This window comes from Homo sapiens, chromosome 9 (assembly GCF_000001405.40).
Source record: "Homo sapiens chromosome 9, GRCh38.p14 Primary Assembly".
Classification (NCBI taxonomy): domain Eukaryota; kingdom Metazoa; phylum Chordata; class Mammalia; order Primates; family Hominidae; genus Homo; species Homo sapiens.
The window spans coordinates 131,178,146-131,199,124 of record NC_000009.12 but is presented as its reverse complement, the minus strand read 5'-3'; the positions used below and the strand labels follow the sequence as shown (position 1 = coordinate 131,199,124).

The 20,979-nt window shown below is 41.1% G+C and overlaps 1 protein-coding gene across 3 annotated transcripts in view, besides 1 other annotated feature; it reads right to left on the bottom strand.

The window, feature by feature from the left end:
- Window positions 1-20,979, bottom strand: part of NUP214 (nucleoporin 214) — a 109,078-nt gene that overhangs the window by 35,539 nt on the left and 52,560 nt on the right. For 2 of the 3 annotated variants that reach the window (NM_005085.4, NM_001318324.2), the window contains exons 24-29: window positions 20,715-20,814; window positions 11,761-11,836; window positions 9,994-10,072; window positions 6,833-6,917; window positions 3,831-3,892; window positions 110-1,909 (exon numbers count right to left, since the gene is read on the bottom strand). In NM_005085.4, the coding sequence (NP_005076.3) occupies window positions 110-1,909; window positions 3,831-3,892; window positions 6,833-6,917; window positions 9,994-10,072; window positions 11,761-11,836; window positions 20,715-20,814 (2,202 nt within the window). Of the gene's footprint in view, window positions 1-109; window positions 1,910-3,830; window positions 3,893-6,832; window positions 6,918-8,644; window positions 8,987-9,993; window positions 10,073-11,760; window positions 11,837-20,714; window positions 20,815-20,979 lie in introns of those variants that run through there. The other variant, NM_001318325.2, reaches the window with a different exon arrangement.
- Window positions 20,529-20,778: an enhancer blocking element, noted in NCBI's record as "candidate insulator 9-3; strong CTCF association in K562 cells". NCBI's record gives its function as "blocks activity of the beta-globin HS2 enhancer when located between the enhancer and the Agamma-globin gene promoter in a lentiviral reporter assay in K562 erythroleukemia cells {active_cell/tissue: K562}" and the evidence as "EXISTENCE:reporter gene assay evidence [ECO:0000049][PMID:24098520]".

The following is a 20,979-nucleotide window of genomic DNA, read 5'->3' as shown; positions in this document are numbered from 1 at the left end:
ATTTTTGGGTTTTGAGTCTCCCCTTTAATTACAAAAGTAATAGGGGTCTGTTGCTAATGTTTCAAATAGCAGAGAGGGAAACAAGTAAAAAGCTTCCACAAATTCTTACCTGAAGCTTGGCAAAAGCTGAACCCAGAGGTTGCTGCTGTTGTGGTGGCAGCTGAGGTACCACCAAAGACAGAGCCTCCCTGTCCAAAGCCAGGACTCTGCCCAAAAGCAGGAGCGTTGCTTTGGCCAAACAGCCCCCCTCCTGTGTTGGGAGAAGACTGTCCAAATGAGAAGGAACTGGAGCTACTGGTACTTGAGGCGGCACCAAAGACACTTCCACTGGTGGATGTGGGAGTGGAGGAAGCAGGCTGACCGAAGGCAGGCACGGAACTGAACCCAGGCTGACTGAAGGAAAAGACACTTGCAGCACTGCTCGCCGACTGCCCAAAGACTGAGGCCTGCCCGAAGGTTGTCTGTCCAAAGACCCCTGGGGCTGTGGTACCAAAAGCTGGGCTGCTAAACCCTGAGCTGCTGACCTGTGGTGTGGCAGCTGCTGTGCTGGCTGTGCTACCAGTCTGCTGCCCAAACAGACTTGGTGCGGTGCTGGCTGCCACTTGCCCAAACACGGGCGTGGCAGAGGGGGCAGTGGCTGTGTTGTTGGTGAGCTGGTTGAAAGCTGAGCTAGAACTGGCAGCAGGAGGCTGAGCAAAGACGGATGAGCCAGAAGTGACGGTACCAAATGCTGCTGCCTCTGCAGATGGGCCGGGAGCAACAATGGACGTGGTGCTGGAGGCTATGGGGGTACTTGATGTTTCGACGGCCACAGGGCCTGCACTTGAGATAGCAGCTGCTGTGACAGCAGTCTGCCCAGGCACAGAAAAGGAGGAAGCAGGTGGTACTGCCTCCGTCCTGGCATCAGGGACCCCCGTGGTGGCTGGGGTAGCCTCTGCAGAAAGTGCTACAAGACTAGTACTAGATGCTGCAGTGCCAGAGTTGCTGACTGCAGGCTGGGCAAGAACAGGTTCTTTTTTAACAGAGTCAGAAGTTTGCGGAGGAGCCTGGGGAAGCTGGGCTGACTGTTGCTCCTCTAGAAGTGAGGCTGCTGATGCTGAGACCTCACTGTCACCTGGCTTCTCAGGCAAAGCTGATGAAGTGGCCTCTTCTGTGCTTCTGCCAGCGGACATAGGCAGGGAGGGGGTAGTTGCTGAACTCAGGAGGCTACCAAATGACAATGTGGGGAATGATGTTGGAAGGGGAGTGGCAGCTGTAGTTGGTGGTGGGGCAGATGGGGGCACTGTGCTATTGGTCTGTTGGCTTCCAAATGAAAAACTAGTCTTGCCAGCACTTAGAGATGTCCCACCAAAACTGATGACCCCAGAGGATCCTGCACTGGTGACTGGCAGACTGCCAAAAACGGCAGTTGAGGAAGTGCTGGTGGCTGCTGGTGGTGCTACTGAGGTGGTGGTTGCAGAGGATGTCACAGGGGGCTCCGTGTGCTTCCCTAACACCGGGGGGGCAGTAAAATTAAACCCTGAGGGCACGCCTGACGTCTTGGTTGGCTGGGTACTAGTTAGGCTTGTGGATGAAGCCTTATTGGTTGGTTTTGTAGAATCATCTGCTTGGCCAACCCGCAGTCCTGAAAAACTTCCCAGAGTCTCTCCAGCCAAAGAACTTGGAAACAGAAGCTCTCCCAGCTTGGACGGTGGGGTTTCCAGCTTACTAGAGGTGGTGGAAAGAGCAGTTCCAGAAGGTGCCACAGGTCTGCTGCTAGATGCGGCAGGTTCTCCTGGGGTGGTGTTTGATGCGGATGTGATTCCTGAGGGAGGTGAGCTTTCAGGAATGGCCTCATAAGAAGGTTTGCTTCCCCCACCAGATGAGAATGCGTCCGGCTGGCTTGACTCTTTAGTGGAGGGTGTTGCCCCTAGCAAGAAAAAGAAATCAGAAAATGGGTTGGATTTAGCAAAAGATGACCCATTACATTTCCACTGATTGTGTTTCTAAGCCAAAGTTTCTCTCCTCCCTCTACAGAGTCAGGGTGCCTTGTTCTCACAGCAGCTTTCTCTAAGGAGGTGGAATGAGTGCTTCTCCACACAAACATCAGCTCTGAGTCGTCTGAGGTGAAAAGGAAAAAATACTTTTTTTATGACCATTAAATCACAACAAATACAAAATATCTAGAATATGTGAAATTAACATATTATCCCAAAGAGAAATAAAAAAGCCTCTTCCCTTAATTTACCCTAGCTGTGTGCTTTCCTTAATAACATCCTCAGCACAGCAATGGCCTGTGGACCTCCTGATAGACCAGGACTTGATTCAAAATGGAAGTTCTTCCTTCATTTTTATGAGCAAATAAAGTGTCAGTCCACAGAAAATCATTTTTATGTACAATTAATGGCTACTTATTAGTGCTCTACTAAGTCAGCTATTTGACAGAGGCAGTACGGTCTGGTGGTCAAGGACATGGGCTCTGGAGCTATGCACTCTGCCACTCGCTGGTTGTGTGAATCTGGAAAGGTTGCTTTACCTCTCTGAGCCTCAATTCCCCCATTTGGAAAATCTAGATCATTACAATACCTACCTTCATTGTGCTGTTACAAAGATCGCAGGAAATATGGGTAAAGCACCCATAAGGCCTGGTCAAACAACAGTGGTTAATAAATACAAGAGTAACGAGGCCGGGCGTGGTGGCTCACACCTGTAATCCCAGCACTTTGGGAGGCCAAGGCACGTGGATCACGAGGTCAGGAGTTCGAGACCAGCCTGATCAATCAACATGGTGAAACCCTGTCTCTACTAAAAATACAAAAATTAGCTGGATGTGGTGGTGGGCGCCTGTAATCCCAGCTACTAGGGAGGCTGAGGCAGGAGAATCGCTGGAACCCAGCAGGTGGGGGTTGCAGTGAACTGCAATTGCGCCATTACACTCCAGCCTGGATGACAACAGTGAGACTCCATCTCAAAATAAATAAATAAAATAAAAGACTTAATCATAAACGGATAACTGAAAGGCACTTAACAAATAGATCTGGTTTCTTTATAGGGCTTCAAATTCTTTTAAATGTTAAAAACATGCTATTGATGGATTTTTTGGCGCGGGGGGGGGGGGGGACACACAGAGTTTCACTCTTGTTGCCCAGGCTGGAGTGCAATGGCACAATCTTGGCTCACTGCAACCTTGCCTCCCAGGTTCAAGCAATTCTCCTGCCTCAGCCTCCTGAGTAGCTGGGATTATAGGTATGCGCCACCACGGCTGGCTAATTTTGTATTTTTAGTAGACACGGGGTTTCTCCATGTTGGTCAGGCTGGTCTTGAACTCCTGACCTCAGGTGATCCGCCTGCCTCGGCCTCCCAAAGTGCTGGGATTATAGGCGTGAGCCACCGCGCCCAGTCTATTGATGGATTTTTAACAACATGCATGGGATGAGTGTGTTTGCTGGTATGTTATCAAGGAAAAAAACGAGTTTGGTCTTTCATTTCTACAGTCTATCTATTACCATGTCTATCTTGCCCTACAGAATCACCCTATAAATTGAAGAAATTTTAAATTACAGACAAAAAATGGAGAAATTTTAATTCACATGTTAACATTTAAATGTTAAAGCACAGCCCTGATTTTCTAGAAGCAAATCCTTTCCTTGTCCTTAATTATAAAAATAGAAATCCTTCACATCAGTTTCTTAAATTAAGCATATTTCTAATGCACATTATCAACACTGAGCTTATTGCAGATACTGTAAGTAAGATTCAGGAACAAGTCAAATACTAACATGTGGGCAAAAATAACCTGTACTTATTTAGAGAAAACACATGAGTAATGCTACTCAACACAGAGTCTGTACCTTGTGCAGCAGTGAAATTAGAAGACGGTGTTGGTGTGATTATCCCAAAATTAAAGCCAGTCCTAACAAGTGGAAAAAGAGAAATTAAAAAGGAACAAACCAAGGCACAATATTGCCCTCTTAATATTCCATTTTATCATTCATTCATACAAACCGCCCTCAGGAATTTACAATCTAGAAGATAAATGACAACAGAGTCAAAGCACCTATCTCAGAAGCAGTAAGGCCACTCTATGATCTCTAAGCAGAGAAGCAGTTTGTGTGTGAGATACGACAGGGATAGCAGTTGAGAGCCCATTGGGGGATGGCTGGGCTTTCTGTAGCAGAAGTTTGAGTGGGGACTTCTTGCAAGATGAGCAAAGCTGCAGCAGTAGAGACACATGACAAATGTGCATGTGGGAATGGTGGCCGGAGCAGATGGTCTGTTAAGTGAGGGGACAGAAGGAAGGTCTGGTAAGACAGAAGCACTTAAGACTAGGGAGAGCCTCTCAGAACCCCTCCAAGACCAACAAGCATGTCAGAGAGCCCCACACTGCTAGGGAAAACAATGGATACAATGAAATAGAAGCCCTAACTCAGTCATTTTGACAGAACTGAGTTTTACGGCTAGGAAAATCTAGTTCAAAAACTTTGTGACTCCTTTCACCATCTCCTCTCTCCTTTTGTACGTTTTCTTTACACTGTAAGTGAAGACACCATAGCTAAGGAAGAAAATCCCACGCGAGTGTGAATCAGAACAGATTATTCACTGTGATAAAAACTCAGGCCAGGCATGGTGGCTCACATCCCAGCATTTTGAGAGGCTGAGGCAGGTTAATCCTTTGAGCCCAGGAGTTTGAGACCAGCCTAGGCAACATGGTGGAACCCTGTTTCTACAAAACAAAAACAAAAACCCAAAAACCAAACAAACAAAAACAAAAACCCCCAAAAACCAAAACCGAAAAATTAAAAAACAAAAATCAGCCAGGTGTGGTGGCGCGCACCTGTAGTCCCAGTTATTCGGGGGGCTAAGGCAGGAGGATCACTTCAGTCCTGGGGGTGGAGGTTGTAGTGAGCCATGACTGTACCACTGCACCTTTTTTTTTTTTTGAGACAGAATCTTGCTCTATCTCACACACACACACACGCAAAGTTCAAATTGCAGATTTCAAACTAGCTTTAAAATATAACGAACCAAGCACATCAAATATACTAAATAATGTAATAACTTAGACACCTTTGCCCATCATATTAAAAATAAAAAAAAAAACACAACCTTTCTTAGTGAAAAAATTTTATCTAATAGTGTCAAGCCATTGATTCAATGACCCCACCTTTTCTGGGTTATTTTAAAAATGGGAAGAGGGCCAGGTGCAGTGGCTCGTGCCTACAATCCCAGCACTTTGGGAGGCTAAGGCGGGTGGATCACTTGAGGCCAGGAGTTCAAGACCAGCCTGGGCAACATGAAAAAACCCCATCTCTACTAAAATACAAAAATTAGCTGGGTGTGGTGGTGCACACCTGTGATCCCAGCTACTTGGGAGGCTAGGGCAAGAGAATCACTTGAACCCGGGAGGTGAAGATTGCAGTGAGCTGAGATCTCACCACTGCGCTCCAACCAGGGTGACGGAGTGATACTCTGCCTGAAAATCCAAAAAAAAAAAAAAAAAAAAAAAAAAAAAAAAAGAAAAGGAAGAAGAATATCATTTCACAGAAGACTGATTATTAGCCATCTGTAAAGGATGCAATAATTCTTGGCATTGACCTACTCTTTAAAATTTGCTGCAAATTACCTTTGGGAAGCATAAAACATAATGATTTATAATAAAGAAAAAATATATGTATTACTTTCCCCCTCAAATAATATTCTAATACCCTCTTTTCTCCTTAGGCTGAAGGACACTCAAAAAATATATTAAAATCAGGAAAAAGAGACTGGTTAATATGCTCCTAGTTACAAAAGCATAAACTGAAGAACTTAAGAGGCTTTTCTAAGGAACTGAATGCACAATGCTTCAATGGCAAAAAATCCTTTTGACACATTTTGATCTCAGTTCCACAGAGTCTAACCCAATGCTTCAGCAGCTCACACAGGTTTCAACATGAGCGCTCAGGGCACAGAGAACAGGCACCTTAACAAAGGCTCATCTTGAGATAAGGTATAGAAGATTCTTTCATTTTTAAAAACAACTCAACTTTACAAGTACAGCCATCATTATTATTATTATTTTTTAAAGAAACGGAAACAGATTCCTCCACATCTATATAAAACCTCAAATTTCAAATGCCTATTATCTTTCATTACATTCTCTAAGTTTAGTATACTGTACTCTCGATGCAGTAAGCCTTTTTTTTTTTTTTTTTTTTTTTTTTTGGAGACGGGGTTTCACTCTGTTGCCCAGGCTGGAGTACAATGGTGTGATCATAGCTCACTGTAACCTCGAACTCCCGGGCTCAAGGGATCCTCCCACCTCAGCCTCCCAAGTGGCTGGGACTATAGAAGTGAACCAACGTACCTGGTTAATTTTTCAATTTTTTGTAGAGATGAGGTCTCACTATGTTGCCCAGGTCAGTCTCCAACTCCTGGCCTCAAGCAATCCCTCCCACCTTGGCCTCCCAAAGCACTAGGATTATAGGCATGAGCCACCATGTTTGTCCAGCAAAGTCAATTTGAATGTCACATCTAGCCCCCAAAATGGTGTCAGAATGGAAACATCTCAGTGTGACAAACTAGATGAACTACAGAATTTAGCAGACTCATTACTCAAAGAAAATGAGGCTTAGGCTAAAAAACAAAACAGATACACAAATATGTAACAAACAAGTATTAACTTGAATTGCAAAGGGAAAATCGATTTACATGAGAACATTAAACTATTGCCACTATCATCACATGTATTACTGCCACGGTAAGAACTCTGGGTTCATACACATTTAATAAGTAAATAAATATATCTATAATTGTAAGATTTGGGGAAGCTAATTGCTAGTAATTTGCCATAAAACTTAAGTTCATTACTGACCCTGATGGAGAAAATGAGAAAGGCTTGCTGAACTGCCCAGAAGCAGATGGGGTTGAAGTCACAGCTGTTTCTATCTTGGCTGTCCCTGAAATTATGGAAAAAAAAAAAAAAAAAAAAAAAAAAGAATATTACAAAAAGACAGAAACACTGTTCCAGTGTATAATTCCCTGTAGCTCAGCCTGTGAGGTGCTGCTTAGCACCACATGTGCCTTCTGTGACACGTCAGTGGCCATGGGGAGTGAGCACGTTGCCTCACTTGTGTTTGAGGTCTCTGAAATTGCTCCGTGGCTCTGTCAATGTTAATTCCAGTCTAAGGTGTGCCATCTTCTCCTTTACAGAAAATATATCAAAATAATTCTAGTATAGTTTAAATGTACAGTTTTAAAAGTACACTCTTATATATTTCAATGGTATGGGAAAATGCTTATAATGTGAGGCTAAGCCCCCTCCCCACAAAAGTAAATAAAACTATATATAATGTAGCTTTATAATTATTTGAAATTAATCTATGCTGAAGGACAAAAATCCAAAAGAGAAATAGGTTCATAAGCTAAATATTTCTGAGTAGTGACTTTAAGGCTGTTTACTTCTATATACATTTCTGCATTTTCCACAGATTTTGTTGGCATTTAACAAATAATCGTGTTCTTTTTTTAAAATTACAGATGTAAAACATGATTGCTATAATATGGAGACATGCAAAAAGGTTAAAAGTGCAATCCATCATTCTCCCCATGTTCGATTTCACTCTAACTACTTACTTATAGTTTGGGTACAATCTTCAATCTTTTCCCTACTGCTCTACTTTATTTATTTATTTATTTAGAGACAGAGTCTCGCTCTGTCGCCCAGGCTGGAGTGCAGTGGCGCAATCTTGACTCACTGCAATCTCTGCCTCCCAGGTTCAAGCAATTCTCCTGCCTCAGCCTCCCAAGCAGCTGGAACTATAGGCATGCACCACCATGCCCGGCTAATTTTTGTATTTTTTTTTAGTAGAGACAGGGTTTCATCACGTTGGCCAGGCTGGTCTCGAATTCCTGACTTCAGGTGATCCGCCTGCCTTGGCCTCCCAAAGTGCTAGGATTACAGACATGAGCCACCAGGCCTGGCCTTGCTCCACTTCAAAAGGGGGAAAGGAAAGAGGAAAACTATTTAAAAGCCCAAATCAAACGAAACTAAACCAAACAACAACAAGAAAAAAAAAACACCAACCTTCTAAAATAAACAAACACAGGGTAGATGGCAGTACAAATATTTTTAAAACTACTGATATACAATGTAAAATGTACAGGATGAAAAGTCACAATCTAAATCATCAGCAGAGTACTAGTTAAATTTAACAGGGTATAACTACACAATGAGGTTGTAGACAGCTCTTAAAATGAGTAAGGTGGATCTGTATCAGACCTGCAGAGACCAAGACATTTATTGTAAGAGGGGGCAGAGAAGGGGAAATAAGTTACAAAATCAATATATATAGGATATACAGTATATAGGATATTTTTCTTTAAAAAACAATGAAGTAACCTCAAGAGATATACATGAAATCATGATCTCTGGAATACAGAATCTATAGGGCAGCTTTCACATTCTACATTATATATCTCTACACCATAGGCTTTTTCTGGGCATGTAATAGTTTTACAATCAGAAAAACAATGAAGGTATTTCCATTACTAATAAGAGAACTATTCTCTAGAGGTTTTAGAAATGCTCTTTTTCAAAAAGAAACTTTTTGCAAACTCTTAAGCAGCACCTTTCAGGGAAGTTTTCCTACCAAAAGAAAAAAGTTCTTTTCTAAACCTTGATTACCTGGCAAGTGAAAACAGAAGTGAACACCTCGTAACAAAAGAGAGGATTTCATGATCAGCAATGAATGGTGAATCTCGGAAATTTCTTGCAAGTCACACTACTTGCCCAGACATGCATAAAGCAAAGTTCCTTAGGTTTCTTTGATTCTAACTCCAAGAGTGACAAAAACCTCTCCAATGAAGTCCTTGAAAAAAGAGTATATGATCTTTCAAAACCTTTTTGTAAAATACTCAAGTCTTTGACAGTTCTACTATATAATTTTCCTTTTAACATAAAGCTTTAGGCCCCGGTCGAGAAGTGCTAGATACCTCCTTCTCATGTGAGGCGTACATGATACCAACTGTGGTTCCATATCACTCCGAATTCTAGAATACAACTCTGGCTTATGCAATAATGGCTTCCTTCTGCAAGGAATAGCTACTAAAGATAAATCCAGTATCCAATCAGAAAGTTTGGGATTACAGAGAAAGTCAGAATGACTGTATGATTAAGATTATGAGACGCAGGCTGCTAATGTATGAAGTTCAATTTCTAACAGAATTTGCTTGAAGGCCCACTTAAGAGCATGATTGAAACAAATGCCAGAATCAACAGTGTTGTAAAAATTCAGTATTGCAGACAGCACAAGACCCTTGCAGCAGGAAGTAATACACGCCAAATTAGGTAGGCTATAATAAAGGAGCCAACAAAAGGGGACACTGAGGAAGACCCACATTCTGCATAAAGTTGGTTTGGGCAATGACACTTGGACAAAGTGTCTGGTCAAAACACTCATGGTTACTGTGAAAACTAAATTAAGAATAATTATGCTTGAGTGAGTGTAGGAGAAGTTACGTGAAGCCATAAAATCTCATAATATCGACTCATTATATACTCTGAGATCTTACAAATCTGTTTCACTTTCTCTACCTTATAGGCTTTTGAACTGTCACTGTGGACCAACAGAATTTTTAATTCCTTTTAGTGGAAGAAATAGCGTTTAGCATTCTGATCCATTCCTCTCAACTGTGATCATCCAGCAAGGAAGAAAAAGATAATACTATTGCTCCATTTTAGGAAAAGAATTTAAAGGGAGGTTTTTCTCCTATTGCTCTATCATTTTCAAACTAACCTAAAAATTTCAGAAGTCTACATAGCCATTGAAGGGCATACTAATTTTCTAGAAATTCTTCATTAGCTGACGGCTTTCAAATATGATCTCTTGTCTATGGTCATACTACCCTGAATGCTCCCGATCTCATCAAATGTGACTCCTGTTTCCTATGGCAACTGTCTCAGTGATCCAGAACAATAACCCCTATTGTGGAGTGCTTCTTTCACTTTTCAAGAAAACAAAAATGCAAACTGACCTGAAGCTTTGTCACCAGATGATAACTGACCGGATGCTGGTGTAGGCCCAGATGGCTTAAGGGAATTTATTAGAGACCCCTATAACAGAATGCAAGCAAAATGTTTATGTTAAACCACTAACCATTCTTTGTAACAAAGAAATATGTAAAATGTAAACACAAAAATATAATTTAAAATAAGCAAGGACAAATACTTTTAGATAAATTACCAAAAAGAAAAAGGAAACAAAAAAAAGGTCTCAATTTAAGTTAACCATATGTAAGATCATATTAAAGGATGAAAATAGAAATACTCTGCAAGCTCCAAGAAGGCAGTCACACTGGCCTAGTTCATGGCTATCTTCCCAGTGCCTAGCACAGTGCTTAGCACATCAAAAGCACTTGACTATTAGGTAGATGAATTAATGAAGGAGTAAATTAATAAAATGGTTCTAGCTCTCAAAGCATGTACAATAAGGTTAAAAGCAAAACTGACTTATCCATCTCCAGTCAATGTTCCTTCACTCGCCATGACTTATGCCTTATCATGTGTTTTCCATGGTGAACACAAATACCTCCAGAAGAAAGATCGAATGCTAAATGCTTAAATGCCATTTTAAGTTATGGTAAACTAAGGAACAGAGGCAAGTTTGAGAACTTAAATAGGCAAGTCCTGATATCCAGTCTCAAATTCTGATCTCTAACACAAACTACTCATCTCAGAGACAGATGTAAGAGTAGTGAGAGAAACCAGAACTTCTTAGGAAGAGTTTCAGCACTAGCCTGACTGACCTTCCAACCATCCCCTATCACTTTTTTCTGGATTGTTTAACTGTTTGCAATATCACCTATTTTTCTAAGGGACAATGTTTATCAGGCAAAAGCCTGAAGCTAGACAAGCTAGACATAACATCACTAAAAATATGCAAACTCTGACAAACAGGGATTGCAGGAGAAAACCAGATAACCTATACCCCAGACATTGATACTCAACTGTGTAGTGAAACGAGCAATGGACAGGAGGAAGTCAGAAGCCTTGGGTCCCAGCTCTGGTTCCACCATTTACTAATCGTGAGAGTTTGCGTTGGTCACTCAAGCCTAGGCTGCCTCACCAGTGAGACATATCTAAACACCTATCCTCCCACTGTACACGGCTGTTGTATGGGTTAACTGAGATAATGTGAAAGTAAACTGCAAAGCAAAATACTTCATATAAAAATGTATGGTATTAGAATTATGACCCCAAATTACTAGGTGCAGAATGTTTAAATGGCCTATGAAGACAGTATCAGGTCCTGACTGACCTACCCTGATTAACAGCCATGTCAAGACTGGCATAAATTGTGGGGAAGGGATTATGGGCCTTTATCAGACTTATGGTTCATTTAAACAAAGTCAAGACTTAAAAACAGTATGGTCTTCACTTACAAAGACAGACACGGCATGAATGTTAAAAGTAAAACTCAGGCCGGGTACGGTGGCTCACACCTGTAATCCCAGCACTTTGGGAGGCCGAGGCAGATGGATCATCTGAGGTCAGGAGCTCGAGACTAGCCTGGCCAACGCGGTGAAACCGCGTCTCTACTAAAACTACAAAAATTGACTGGGCATGGTGGTGGGTGCCTGTAATCCCAACTACTCAGGAGGCTGAGCCACGAGAATCACTTGAACCCAGGAGGCAGAGGTTGCGGTGAGCCAAGATCGCACCACTGCACTTGAGCCTGGGCGACAGAGTAAGACTCTGTCTCAAAAAAAAAAAAAAAAAAAAAGTAAAAATCAGTAAGTTACCTGCTTGGCTTGGTTAGCAGCCACTGGGGTCAACACTGGGTGAGGTGTTTTGGCTGTGGAGTAGGGCACTGAAGAACTGAAAAACACACAAAGCATACACTCAGAGAAAGGCATGACTAGGTAAAAATCACATTCATTCTCAAGCCAACCTTCTGTCCAATATACAATACCAGTTTTGGGTAGGATACAGATGCATGGGACCCCAATACAACTGATTTGACATTTTTTTTGAAGGATAAATTTTAAAAATGAACTTTGGGTTTTTAGCATGAAAGTCAAAGCAGTGGCCTTATAACTTATTTCCTTTCTGCAATCCAAAGAAAAAAATTAGTAACCATTCAGAACTAGATCTTTTTGCTATCCAGAGTATAAGCCCTCCTCCTCCCTGGCCCTTCCCCCTGTTGTAGACCACGAGAAATTCCTGATTCTCTTACCCAAGCAGGCTCTATGGGAAGCATTCTCACTGCCACCTATGCATCCAATTCGCTGCTACCGCAAAGGTGCTATCCAAAGAGATCTTAGCTTCTCACAGCAGCTATCTCCAGGGCTCACCAGGTCAGCATCCAAGGGATTCAAATGTACCACTGTTCCATTCCCAACCTGCATCTTTGCTACAGCATGAAAAGTATACCCCTATTCGCAGAAAGAGCTCTCATCATCTTTTGTTAACTCTGAAGTAGGTGAATACTGTATGTGAGGAACTGTTATTTCAATAACTAGTGTTCACATATGGGAAAACTACCTGTTAGTGTAATCACACACAAAAGTTCTTGGCTCCTAGCGGCAATTTTTTCAATTTATCTGTTGTCAGCCCAGCGCTACTCTGACTGGTATATATAGCAGTAGTAGTTGTAGGACCTGGTTATTTTTCAGAACTCCCCTAGATTTAGGGAGGATTCATATTTTCCATCAAAAATGAACTTAGAAGATAAAAGATAGGCCTGTGCCTCACGGAAGAAAATTATCAAACAGCTTAACAAACCTTACAAGCATATTGAGATTCTCTGCTGGAATAACAAGGGGACCTTCCTAAACAGACTTTATTAGATTGAGAGAGAAGAAAAAGTGAACTTATGTTCAATGAAACAAAACCCGTTTCATGCTTCTACTGAAGCCAGAAGCAGCTATAAATATGCATCTCTCTGGAGAAACACATCTCTGTTCCCCTGAGATAGTTTACCAAGCAGGCAATACAGATACAGTGTTCCCCCGTCACCTCCGCTGAATCTGTACCAGAGGAAAAGAATGTGTGAGTGAGACTGCTGGGCCCTGAGCAGTACCTGGACAGACACAGCAGACTTGCTTAGAGAAGAGGTTGGAGCTCACAAGGATTACAAAGGAAAGGAAACTCTTTCATGCTTTCTCAAAGACAAACAGAAATCAGAAATAAAAATAAAAGCAGCAATTTATCCAAATTTTAGAAAATTTTTTACAGCCAGAATTCAATTGTGACATGATAGTAAATTATGCATGAATAAGACTGAGTGTAATTATTATTCTATTTATTTGTGATAATTCTATGTATCTCCTGAGTATCCTAAATCCCCAAATACACAAAATTAGGATTCACAGTACCTACACACCACGTGACACCCCTGCAAAGAAATGCTGTTCAGTGCAATCAGCCAGTAAACCAATTAACAAACCAGATCCAATAAATCTCTTATCAAGATCCAAGACAGCACACAGAAAAAAACAGTATACTCTCAAACAAATATGTTCAAACGTTTTTGCATGAGCATGAACCAAAACAATGGAAATCAATAGCTAGAAATGATCAAGAGATAGAAAAGCCAAATTCAGAAGTATCCATATCTTAGGTGACTTTATTCCACTTTTTAGCAATATGGAGTTGAAAAATATCAGAAATTCATCTTGATATTTGTTCTAAGAAGAAAATGGTGCTATAACAGAGCCCCAAAGAGACATCTCTTTACTGAGTGAGTCTACAAATGACACTGACATTGCCAGCAACACTAAAGTTCCTGCTTCAGAAATGAGCGACAGAGGCACAGATCACTAAGAGTCTGGAAACTCGGGTTCTTGGAGAAAAATAAAACACAGAAGAGTCATTTTTTTCTGTTTTTGGCCACACATTACCAGCACTACATGCCAACAGAGGCAGACAAATGCACACATGTTCCATGGATGTGTACTCTACACACAATTATAAAATTGGGTTGTGAAGCATTAAAATGTCACCTAGGCCCTTTGCTATTGATCCCTCCAACTTTAATGAACTTCAACAAGGTAAATACTCATCCCATTGTTGTAAAAAGCCTCAACTTCTTGTAACTTATTTCAGGATTTTAAAAAGCATAAAAAACAAGAGACCTGGTTATGTTTTATTTTGGTAAATCTTAATCACTATCACATGTATCTTTTCATACATACTCATATATGAGAGAGTGGAACTTATCAAGAGTAACTGAAGAAACAAAGAAATCAACAGGGAAAAAGAATGAAAATGATAGAAGATACTGAAAACAAACACTCTATATTCAATTCTTGGGCGTTTTTGACATCTGTCGATGGAAATATAACTGCCAACTATTTTCTCCATTGGTAAATTTAATGTCTTCAAAGACACATTCTTTAAAATAGTATCCAAAAGTCTGTTAAAGCAAATTGTATTTCCTGCATGAATGTTTAGATGCTAAGTAACTTAAATAATTAAGACGGAATTGCATTAGAGCTTTGAAAAAATCCACATTAAATATGAAAAAATAGGCCAGGCACGGTGTCTCACGCCTGTAATCCCAGCACTTTGGGAGGCCGAGGTGGGTGTATCACTTGAGGTCAGGAGTTCGAGACCAGCCTGGCCAACATGGTGAAACTCCGTCTCTACTAAAAATACAAAAAAATTAGCCAGGTGTGGTGGCAGGTGCCTGTAGTCCCAGCTACTTGGGAGGCTGAAGCATGAGAATCGCTTGAACCCGGGAGACAGAGGTTGCAGTGAGCCAAGATTGTGCCACTGCACTCCAGCCTGAGTGACAGAGCGAGACTCCATCTCAAAAAAAAAAAAAAAAGAGAGAGGCCGGCTGCAGTGTCTCACGCGTGTAGTCCCAGCATTTGGGAGGCCAAGGTGGGTGGATCATCTGAGGTCAGGAATTTGAAATCAGCCGGGCCAACATGGTTAAACCCCGTCTCTACTAAAAATACAAAAATTAGCCGGCTGTGCTGGTGCACACCTGTAATCCCAGCTACTCAGGAGGCTGAGGCAGGAGAATCGCTTGAACCTGAGAGGCGGAGGTTGGAATGAGCTGAGATTGCGCCACTGCACTCCTGCCTGGGTGACAAAGCGAGACTCCATCTCAAAAAAAAAAAAAAAAAAAAAAGAAAAAGAAAAAAGAAAAAGAAAAGAAAAAATACGAATAGTGTAAGAATTTTTAATGACATGGAAAATGTAAACGATTACATTTCATGATTAAGCTGAAAAGGTTACAAATTTACAAAGCAGCATGCATCCAAATTTTTCTCTAACAAGAAACATTTTCATAAAATAAGGATGAAAAAATGTGTAAATAACAATCATACATTTGTGGTGGGAATAAAGGTGATTTTAAGTTTGTTCTTTTTAACTATCTTTTTTATATCTACAACAAACATTTGTAATTAGAAAAACAAAAGGATTAAAGTTCCTTTTAAGTTTCTGGTCATTACTAGAGTTATTATTTTTAAAGTAGAGGAACATCTTTAAATCAGTGAAAGAAAAAAACTGCCAATCTAGAATTCTTTACCCTGTGAAAATATCTTTCAAAATCAAAGGTGAAATAAAGACTTCTGCAGACATACAAAAGCTAAAAGAATTCAGATATGAACCTCAAGAAACATTAAAGGAAGTCCTTTGAGCAGAAGAAAAATTATACCAGATGGCAAGCTGGGACCAGACACAGGAATGAAGAACCCTGGAAATGGTAACTATATGTATAAACATGTAAACTTTTTTCTTCTTATTTAAATGTATTTAAAAGATAGTCAGCCGGGCGCGGTGGCTCAAGCCTGTAATCCCAGCACTTTGGGAGGCCGAGGCAGGCGGATCACCTGAGGTCAGGAGTTCGAGACCAGCCTGGCCAACATGGCGAAACCCCGTCTCTACCAAAAATATAAAAATTAGCCAGGTGTGATGGTGGGCACCTGTAATCCCAGCTACTAGGGAGGCTGAGGCAGGAAAATCACTTGAACCTGGGAGGCAGAGGTTGCAGTGAGCTGAAATCGCACCACTGCACTCCAGCCTTGGCGACAGAAGAAGAATCCATCTGGGGGGTAGTGGGGAGGAAAGATAGTCAACTGTTTATAACAATGTATCATGAGGTTTACAATACAGTGGAAGTAAAATGCACAATAGCATAAAGGTGGTGAAGGGAGAAAATAGAATACTGCTGTTAGATTCTTACACTATTCTTTAGTAATATAGTATCACTTGAAGACAGTCTGTGATAAGTTGAAGATGTATACTATAAACCCTAATGTAAGCACTTAAATAACACCAAGTTATAGCCAATAAGTCAACAAAAAAGTTAAAATAGAGTCATAGAGACATTTAACCCAAAAAAAGGCAGAAAAACAAAAACTGAACAACAAACAGATGGGATAAATAGAAACAAATAGCTATATAACAGATTTAAACCAAAACATGTCAATAATTACACTTAAGGTAAACGATCTAATCACCCCAATTAAAAGTCACAGATGGTCAAGATTAAAAAAAAGCAAGCTAAGGCCCACTATATACTGTCTACAACTGTGGTCCCCAACCTTTTTGGCACCAGGGACTGGTTTTGTGAAAGACAATTTTTTCCACAGACGGACAGCGGAGGGGGATGGTTTCAGGATGAAACTGTTTCACCTCAGATCATCAGGCTATAATTTTATATTTTATTCAGTTAGATTATCATAAGGAGCATGCAACCTAGATCCTTTGCATGTGCAATTCACAATAGGGTTCATGCTCCTATGAGAATCCAAAGCTGCCGCTGATCTGACAGGAGGTGGAGCTCAGGTGGTAATGCTCACTTGCCTGCCGCTCACCTGCTGTGTGGCCCAGTTCCTAAGAGGCCACAGACCGGTACTGGTCTGCAGCCCAGGGCTGGGGACCCCTAATCTATAAGAAATCCATTTTATTTTTTTAAATTATTTTTGTTTATTGTGGTAAAATACACTTAACAAAATCTGCCATCTTAAAAGTAACCATTTTTAAGTGCACATGTAGTTCAGTGATACTAAGTACATTCACATTGCTGTGCTACAAGAAACCCATTTTAAATATAAAGACAAAATAAGTTGAAATAAAAGGATGGAAAAGATATGTTGTGGTGCTGGGACAACTGGATATCCACATTCAAAACAATGAAGTTGGATCTCTACTTCACACCATTTACAAAAATTAACTCCAAATGGATCAGAGACCTAGATATAAGAGCTAAAACCACATAACTCTTCAAAGAAAACATCGGTGTAAATCTTTATGACCTTGGATTAGGCAATGGTTTCTTACATGTGACACCTAAAGCACAAGCAACAAAAGAAAAAATAGATAAACTGGACTAAATTTTCGTGTCAAAGGACACAACAAGAAAGTGAAAAACAACTCAAAGAATGGGAGAAAATATTTGCAAATCATATGCTTGATGAGAGACTTGAATACAGATTATATAAAGAAACTTAGAGCTCAAAAATAAAAAGACAACCTAATTTTAAAATGGAGCAAAGGAACTAAATAGATATTTCTCCAAAGATACAACTGGCCAATAAGCACGTGAAAAGATGCTCAATATCACCAGCCATTAGGGAAATGCAAATCAAAACCACTGATAGTGTGAGATACCATTTTATACCACTAGGATGACTATAACCAAAAAGATAGTCAATAATGAGTGTTGGTGAGGATGTGGAGAAGCTGGAACCCCCATACATTGCTGTTGGGAATGAAAAATGGTGCAGCACCTCTGTAAACCAGTTTGAGCTATGTAATCCAGCGATTCCACTCCTACATACATACCCAAAAGAACTGAAAGCAGGGACTCAAACAGACACTGTCCACCAACAGTCTTTCCTGACCTACTCCCCCAGCATTCTTCCTCTTGTTCCCTCTACTCTCGTCACCAGAGGTCCCCCCTGACTCGCTCTTCAACTTGTAGACACGCTCCTGCTACAGGCCCTGTGCTTGGAGCTTTCTTCCGAGATATTAATGAGACCTGCTGTGTGGCCTTTCTCTCTTCATTCAAAGGTCACCTTCCTGAGAAGGCCTTCCCTGGCCACCCTATTTAAAATTATAACCCATGTTCAGACAATACTCTCTAACCTTTCCCCCGCTTTAATTTTCTCCATCACACCATATCACCATCTAATATATTACATATTTTACTTATTTATTTTGATTATTGTTTGTCTCTCCAAACAATCAGTCTGTTAGTTTTTTTGGTCTATTTTGTTAACAACAAAACAGGTAGTTTATCTCCAGCTCCTAAGAATACTGTGTGGCATACAACAAATGCTCATTAAGTATTTGTTGAAAGAATGAATAAATGAATGAATGCACACCAAAATAAGTGTTTGTGTAATTGGCAGTTTCCCGGCTGTCTTCTTGTTTGGTTTGTCTTATTCAACTACCCTATCTCTAGTACCCAGGGCAGTATCATGCTCACAGCAGACGCTGTGTAAGAATCTGCTGAATCAAGCGATGGAGCACTGCAAAGGAATTTGAATAGCTGTGGGTTGGCGCCAGATAAACACTCTTCCAACGAACTGAATGGATGAGGCCAATGAACATAAAGTACACCAATGGCAGAAATATGTAAGCTCATCCTATGATGAATCTTCTGTAGATACCACTGAGAAAAAGCTAACTGCAAAATTAAATACTTAAAATACACTTAGGAAACTACTGTTTAAAAGAATCTGTTCCACGAGAGCTGGCTGAAAATAATTTTAAAAATAAAACATAAAAGAATCTGAAAGCAAGTCATTTTACAATGAACATATTCTCTCGATCTTTCCTGGGGAGGGGTGGCAGTAAACACCAATTTTCACTTTTCAATTTATGTTTGGAGTAGAGTTTACCTATTATTCAATAAATGATTATTGAAAGGAATGCTTCTACATTTCAGGCACCATGCTGGGCATACACATGAAATAATTATACCAGAGTCTAATTCTGTGGAGAATGGAACAGAAAGTTTCTTCAAGATTTCTTAAGTTGTCTGAGATTTTTTGTCAGAAAGAGTAGACTCAAAATTACTCCTTGAACAAACCCTTCATCAAAGATCAGCTCAGATGAACCATTTAGGGAAATGAAGCTTGAGAAAAGGAGAAGTGGAATCTCCAAAAGGTGCTTCTCATACATGGTTAGCACCTAATATATCTCAGAAACACTAGACAATACTTCCTGTACCATATGCTGAGTTTTCCCATCTTATGTAACATTCTGCCTTGCCTTCCCTATGCTGGGAATCTGGCTACAATTCCCAAACTCTAATGCATAGTTCTTTCCCTTGAAAAGCTTGCAACAACCACAAATACCATCTTGGTCTAAACAGCATACCAAGGCTCCGAGGTCACTACAAAATAGTAATAGAGAAGGCTTGTTTTTTGGCTGTTAGTATGGCCCTGAGATAACTAAAAATTCCTCAAACAAGCAGTGTTGATAAACAGAACAACATGGAAAAAAAGAGGCCAGCGGACCAGTGAGGCAGGGCCACTTGAGAGAGGGAAAACAGAACCGTGGGCAGATCTGCTCTGTGCAATGGCAGAGGGTGGGCACGCTGTGGAGAACCACAAGGTCTATGGCTGCCCTTCTTGCTGCTAGACTAATCATGGGTACCAGACACTAACTCCCTGAAATCTGATACTAGTCCTCAAGATCCCCATGTTCCAAGTGAGGAAATGTCCCTCAACTCTTCCCTTTGCCACAGGGGATGGTGGTTGGTCTAAAGGGATCACAGTCACAAAATATGCAGGGCAAAGCAGGGCACAGGCATGTTCTGCGAACCTGCCCAGGGCAGCGGGAGGGAGTCAGCACCCTGAATTCCGAACACAGATGAGGACTAAAGACAAATGAGCTAGGCTGGGCACAGTGGCTCCTGCCTATAATCACAGCACTTTGTGAGGATGAGGTGAGAGGATCACTTGAGCCCAGAAATTTGAGACCAGCCTGGGGTGACATGGCAAAAACTCCATCTCTACAAAAAATTAAAAAATTAGCTGGGTGTGGTGTCATGTGCCTGTAGTCCCAGCAGCTACTTGGGAGGCAGATATGGGAGCATGGCTTGGGCCCAGAAGGTTAAGGCTACAGTGTGCCATGATCGTACTGCACTCTGCACTCCAGTCTGGGCAAGAGTGAGACCTTGTCTAAGAAAAAACAAAAAACAAAAAACAACAACAACAACAACAACAAAACCACCACCACCACCAAAAAAACAAGTGAGCTCCACCAGCAACAATCCAGCCCTCAAACATGGCATGGCAGAGAAGCTAAAGTCTCCAAACAGAGGTGCTGTCTTTTATACAAAAGCAAAAGAAATGGGAAGAACAGAAATGCCTGGAGAAGGGAAGTGAGGGAGGAGAGTGTCACCCTTGAGATTACAGTTTCCAGAATCAAGTCTGCATGAGACCCAAAGCATCAACTCTGGAACCCCTAGGGCATTAAAAAAAAAAAAAAAATCAACCTGCACACCTAATGTGTACCACACAGAGACTTACACATGGCAAACAGAAACTGAGCATACAGCATCAAGACAAACTTTAAAAGTTTGTGAGGCAACTGTCACCGGCCAGTTAAAAAGGACAGTCTCCTGAAAATGCATTGTGTAGGCAGGCTTAGCCGCCACCCCCCTTATAACCTAAGGCGGTGCAGGAAAACCAGACTGTGACAGTGGCACTGCTGCTCCCTGCAGGCAGTCCACCGCTACTACAGAAGCAGCCAGGGGCTGAAACACACTGCAGTCAGAACATACCCCATGGCTGTAGAAGGGGTTGCAGGGTTATTCTTCAATTCCTGCACATTTACCACTTGAGGGACATTCTTCAACGTTGATTCAGTCAAAGTGTTTACAGCTAATTTAAACAGAGAAGAGAGAACACCATATTAATTCCAGCAAAGGATAAAAAGTTCTAGCCACATATAAATGAAAAACCAAGACATGAGCCCAAGCAGATTAGAGCCTTATCATGTGAAGGAAATCTACTCTAGGTAGTTCTTGCAGCATTGTGTTCAAAGGA